At 48.6% G+C, this 6,000-nt stretch overlaps 1 protein-coding gene across 1 annotated transcript; it reads right to left on the bottom strand.

The window, feature by feature from the left end:
• ACTL7A (actin like 7A) lies at window positions 2,012-3,502 on the bottom strand. Its single transcript, NM_006687.4, has one exon. It carries the CDS (start codon window positions 3,443-3,445, stop codon window positions 2,138-2,140), a length of 1,308 nt encoding a protein of 435 aa, NP_006678.1. The 5' UTR covers window positions 3,446-3,502; the 3' UTR covers window positions 2,012-2,137.
• Window positions 3,503-6,000: the final 2,498 nt, after the last annotated feature.

The following is a 6,000-nucleotide window of genomic DNA, read 5'->3' as shown; positions in this document are numbered from 1 at the left end:
ATACTTGTGAGGATCAAGTGAGAAAATTCATAAAGTGGTTTGAAAAAGACTGCACAATTGTTCAGCCTTCAGTTGGCATTTTTCATTTAAAAATGAACATTGAGGCCTAGGAAGGCCTGGAGACGCCCATCCTCCAGAACCACCTCCCAACCCTCCTCTTCATTAAGACCCTCGCCTTTTTTAGGGATCTTTGACATGGGGTTTATTTACCCCTAAGGGATCGGTAGATAGAGCATACTTCTGTATGATAGGTTTTCTCTGTAATCATACATTTTATTTTATGCATTTAATAACATTATTCTAAGAAGAGGTTTATGGGTTTACCACCCCTGCCAAAGAGGTCCAAAGGTTAAGAACTAACCAAACTTCAACTTGCGCATCAGTGAATGATCATGGGTTGACAGTAGAGCGGTTTGGGCAGAAACTGAGGTAAAGATGTCCCTCTCTCTCAGGTCAGTGTCCCCAACTCCTGATTCCTTGACAGTCCAGCATAAGGCTTAGTCATCCGTGCTGAACCATGGGAACCTCACATGCCCCTCTGTGGCTCTCTTTCTGCTGGTGCCAGCCAGATACTCTTAGTCACCAGACCTGGATCCAGGGTCAGGCACTTTAGGTCTTTCAAGGCTGTCGAGGCAAGCCTGGAACCAGTGAGCAGCTCTGGAGGGCTTCTCCCTGGAGATGGTGGAGGTGCCAGCTCTCCTCTAAATGCAGAATGCCTGCCTTTGAGTACCTGTGTGGCTAAGGACTATAGTAAGAGACTTCTGGCCTTCTGCATAAGAGGTAGAAACCTAAAGATACTAGCTAGCTATTGTGAGGACCCCCAGGAGTCTAGATACTGGTATTCAGATATTTTTCGCTGTTTTTTAATCAGCTGTGTGAGGTAGGCATTTATACTCAGTTTTGCAGGCAAGCAAACAAACTCAAGTCACAGTTAGGTGGTAGCAAAATTGCGTTTCAAACCACAGAGTCCAGAGCCCATGTTCTATCCTCTGTTTTGTGCACCAACTAGTGTTCAGATTTTGAACTTTAAAGACAAGACAGAGAATGTATTGGAGGCTGTTCTAAAGAATCTCCAATTTAAAGTGCTCATATTACAAACTCCCCCTGCAGGAACACCAGAGAGCTCGCTGGGCCCTGGAAGGGCTTCCCTGGCTACTGAGGGTCTCTGTGTATCTTTGGGCTCCCCAGTGGGGTTAGAATGACCCACATAGGGCAGCCTCCCACAGACCCATATCATCAGCCCCAGAACCAGCAGCCTCTATCCTCAGCACACCCCAGACTCCAACCGTGTGTGTTCTAGGCTGATGGAGAATCCAGTCTGCTGGGAGATGGTCAGCTACTACTTGAAGTGTCTAGAGAATGACTGTGGCCTCAATCCCTAACCTCTCTGCTGATAACCCAAGATCAGTCTTACTTCAGTTTTTAAAATGGGAAATCTGTATAGCACTTGTTCTCTGAAGAGTTGCCCTTTAAGGCACATACAAATGCCTTGCTTGTAATATGCTAGGCTTCAGCAGCCAGTCGCTGTGATGGCTTAGTAAGAACTGGTACTGAGACATAAATGACTGTTGGAACTAAAAGAAACTCCTGTTAAAGCAGGGCTCAGACAGCTTTGCCAGCTCTTTCCAGTCCCTCAGGGTTGTTGATGAAGTATGAAATGGACACTGATGCTTTGTGGGAGTTTGCACTGTTACAGCATACTTCCTATTGGCATTTATGGAAAGGGAACTGCTTATATGCCCCAACAGCATTTACCCTCTAATCTTCATTGCACTCCCCCTTCCAAGCAGAGTTTAACCGTAAAGTAGTTCCTAAAGCGGGGAATGCACAAAATAAGGGGCAGCATAATTTTAGAACAAGTGAATGTTTAAGCAATCCACATACAATGCATGCCCTTTTTTGTTCATCCTCCCCCTACTCCTGCTTTTGTTTTGGGAAATGTATATTTTAAGGCAGACGCTGCACGTGTGAAGTTGTTTCTTATGAAGTCAGGAAGTAGAGAAACACACTGTGGAGGGGCATATGAGGGGTGTTTAATGCTACAGGAATAAGCGCCGGCTCCACCCCCTGTGTGTAGGAGTGCGCTCACCCTGTCGAGGGTAGGCACTGCCAGTGCAGTGTCCATCCTCGTCGCTGTTCAGAAGCACCTTCTGTAGAGGAAGAAAGGCCCGTGTTCCTCGTACTCAAAGCGGTGGACCCACAATGGTTGGAAACCCTGAAGTGAGGCCAGGATGGAGCCACCGGTCCACACGGCACTGTCTCTTTCAGGCAGCACGTTTACCTGCGGGGTGTCATTGGGACACATGCTGCTTAGCTCCTTCTGCAGACGGTTAGGGAAGCCACTGAGCATCGTGCTGCCCCCGCAGAGCAGGATGTTCCCCATGAGGTCCCGTTTGAGGGCGATGTCACACTTGTTAAGGCAGGACACGGTTTGGGTGTGGAGGCCCAGCTGCATGGACTTGATGAGAGATGGCTTGAAGAACATCTCCGAGCAGAGGAACCGTTCCTGGCACAGCTGAATCTCCTTCCCATCCGGCAGCACGTAGCGGATCGTATGCTCACTGAGAGGGACTTTCTTCTCCTCAATGGGATCCAGGGCCACAAAGCAGCATTTCTTCTTGATGTCCTCCACGATGCCCATCTGGTCCTGGGTGAATTCGTTCCCCGCACTGTTCAGCAGGCCCAGCAGGTAGGCTGTCAGGTCAGAGCCCGCGTAGTCCAGCCTTCCGGTGATGCTGGGCAAAGGATAACCCTCGTAGATGGGGACCACGTAGGACACGCCATGGCCCACCTCCACCACCAGGCCGGAGGTCCTTCCATAGGAGTACATGGACAGGCGCGACTGGTAGGCGATGTGCATTGCAGGGGTGTTGAAGGCTTCAAACAGCATTTCAGCATATTTCTCTCTGTTGGTGTGTGGGCTCAGTGGCGGGTCTGAAACCAAGACCGCATGCTCCTCCGGGGCGATCTTCATCTCTTGTCGGAAGAGATATTCCCAGATATCCTGCACTGTATCCCAGTCCACGATGATGCCATGTCGCAGAGGGTTAACCAGCTTGAGATGAACGTTTGTGTTGTTGAGTTCCTGCCCCACGAATGTCTCCTTGCGATTATCCCCAGTCTTGGCGGTCTCCATGTAGGGCTTGCCCACCGTTGTTGAGATCTTGTGGGTGGGTCTTGGCAGGCCGGCAAAGCCACATTTACAGTAGCCAGTGCCCAGGTCCACGACCACTGCTTTGGTCACCTCCTGCTTGGGCCTCTCCTTGGCTGCCTTTGATTCAGTAGGTTCTTGTGGCTCTGAACTCGTATGGCGGACCCACACGGCCCGCTTCGCCGGGCCATCCCTTAAAGAGGCAGTCTGGAGGGCCTGTGTCTGCAGGGGGGCCTGGTTGCCCACCTTCTTGGTGGGCCCATCCCCCATGATTGCTGCTGGTGGAGCCCACATGTTGTCAAGAGCCGCACCACTCTTAGAAAGTTCTCAATCCCACTGGATTCAAGGCCTGAAAGGCCTACATCAGAGGATACCCTGAGAATTTTCCCAACAGTGACATCACTAATTATGATGTAATCTGGTGACCTGGGCTTTCTAGATATTGCAAACCCTTATCCTGTGTTAGGGTACATTTGGGATATTGTTTTTGAAATGGCTCCCCTTTTCCTAAATTTCGTAACAAGACTGATTTATTCAATTAATTAATATTTCTTGAATGTCTGCTATATACAAGGCAGCTGGGAATTCGCTGGTGAAAAAAACAGACAAAATCCCTTATTCTAGTCGGTGGCGGGTGGGGGTGACAGACAATAACCAAAATGAGCGTTAAGAGCAAAAGCAGGGTGGCAGTGCTAGTGTGGCCTGGGCAGGGCTTCCTGAGAGGGTGACATTTGAATGAAGACCTGCAGGAGGTGAGGGAGAGAGCCATGTGTATGTCAGGGGAGCAGCAGGTGCAGAGGACTGGAGGCAGATGTGTGACTGAAGAGTTAGATCAGGGGTCAGCAGGCTGCAGTCCAATCCGGTCCCCGGCTTGTTGGATAGGAATACAGCCGTGCTCATTCATGTACGTATTGTCCGTGACTGCCATTGCAGTACAACAGTAGAGCTGAGTCACAGCATTGAAGACTGCATTGCCCAAAAAGCTGAAAGAAAGTAAATACTGACTGACCCTTAAAAAGTTTGCCGACCTCTCGAGTTAAAGGAGGAGCAGGAAGAAAAGTGTGGCTGGCATAGAAGGAGTAAGGAAAAGTAGATGAGATGGGGTGGGGGAAGGCAAGCAGCTCATGGTAGGCCTCATAGGCCAATGCAAGGATCGTGGGTAAGGTCAGAAAGCACTAGAGGATTTGGCACAGAGCACTGACACCATCTGATTTAGATGTTAGTGGGAATCCTTTGCTGCTATGGTGACTAAGGGCACTAAGGGTGACCCTTAGAACAACCTTAAGGGGAATTATTTTTGGATATACATGTGTACACTTACTGTGCCTTCATCAGGGTCATTGGCTAGACAGTGAAATTAGACTCTACAAAATCCCACTGACAACACTGAGGCTTTTAGGTGCATAGCTCACCCAAGGATATCCAACCAGGAGTAGCCAAGCTCTCCTGACTGTGGCTTCCTCCCCAGGATGTGCTGGGACACAGCTTGATGGGACCTAGCGTGCAACTCTTAGGCTGTTTGGCCACCATCTTGCATGCCATTTCTGAAGCTGGACACATTGGTGTGGATGCCTGCCACACTCAGGGCAGAATCCAACCTTATGTTATGCCACACCCTGAACCTGATCCCAGCCCTTCATAAAAGAGGCAGTCACCACAATAATGGGCTTTCTCCTTTAGAGAGGCTACGGGAGTTGCTCTCAGTTCCTTGTTGGGTATGAGAGAAGAAAAGGACCAAGTCCAGTCTCATGAGGTTTGTGGTGACTATCTGATGGGGGCAGCAAGGTGTCATCCCAAGGACAAAATCTCAGTTTCTTGCTTCATTGGTTAGTGGGTGAGATAATAGCATGGAATTTTAAAGGAAAAATAGGAAAGTACTTTTGATGCCTGGCTGCCTGAAAAACAGTTTAATTGCCTCTGCCGTTCAGGGATTTGCGTGGGCAACTCAGATTGTTTGACTTTATTTCAAAAGTGCTGTATATGGTAACCAAAGGCATATGTAATTTAAAACCCTCCATTTTTTTCTTCCCAAACCCTACTTGAATGTTGCGAAATCTATAGCTGCTTGGTGCCTTTTCACTAACCTGGACTCCTAGAAGAGCCTGTATTAGCTTCCTGTTTCTGCTGTAACAAATTACCATGGATTTAGTGGCTTAAAGCAATTCACAGTTATTATCTTACTATTTTGGAGGTCAGAAGTTCGTAATTCTTCTTAGTGGGCTACAATTAAGGTTCTTTCAGGGCTGTATTCCTTCTGGAGGTGTAGGAGACAATACTTCCTCTTGCCTCCAGCTCCTAGAGGCCACCTGTGTTCCTTGGCTCATAGTCCCTTCCTCCATCTTGGAAGACTCTCAGACTAGAGCTGTCATTGTCACATCTGCTTCTCTGCCCTTGACCCTCCTGTATCCCCCATATAAGGACCCTTGTGATTACATTGGCCCCACCCAGGCCATACAGGATACTCTCCCCATCTCAGATTCCTTCATTTAATCACATCCACAGAATCCCTTTTGGCATGAAAGTTAATATAGTCACAGGTCCCAGGGATTAAGATGTGGACACCTTTGGAGGACCCTTTCACCTGTTCAGTGCCTCCCTCTTTGCTAATACACTCCAAGCCTGACATGCTCTGACTCATTTGCTCTTCGTGGGCTGCCCAGGCTTGCCCATCTGTCATCTGTCATCACACTTTCTGCATTTGTGTGTGGAAGAGGTGATGCTTTAGTGTAAGGCAGTCACTCTATCTAGTCTGTAAGGTCCTTGAGCATAGGGATTCCCCTCACATTCTCTGAGCAAAAGCCAATGAAACACTTGCCCTCCTTTTACTTCACCACTGAGTTTCACATGTT

The sequence above is a fragment of the Homo sapiens genome, chromosome 9 (genome assembly GCF_000001405.40).
Source record: "Homo sapiens chromosome 9, GRCh38.p14 Primary Assembly".
Classification (NCBI taxonomy): domain Eukaryota; kingdom Metazoa; phylum Chordata; class Mammalia; order Primates; family Hominidae; genus Homo; species Homo sapiens.
This window is presented reverse-complemented; position numbering and strand designations above follow the sequence as displayed.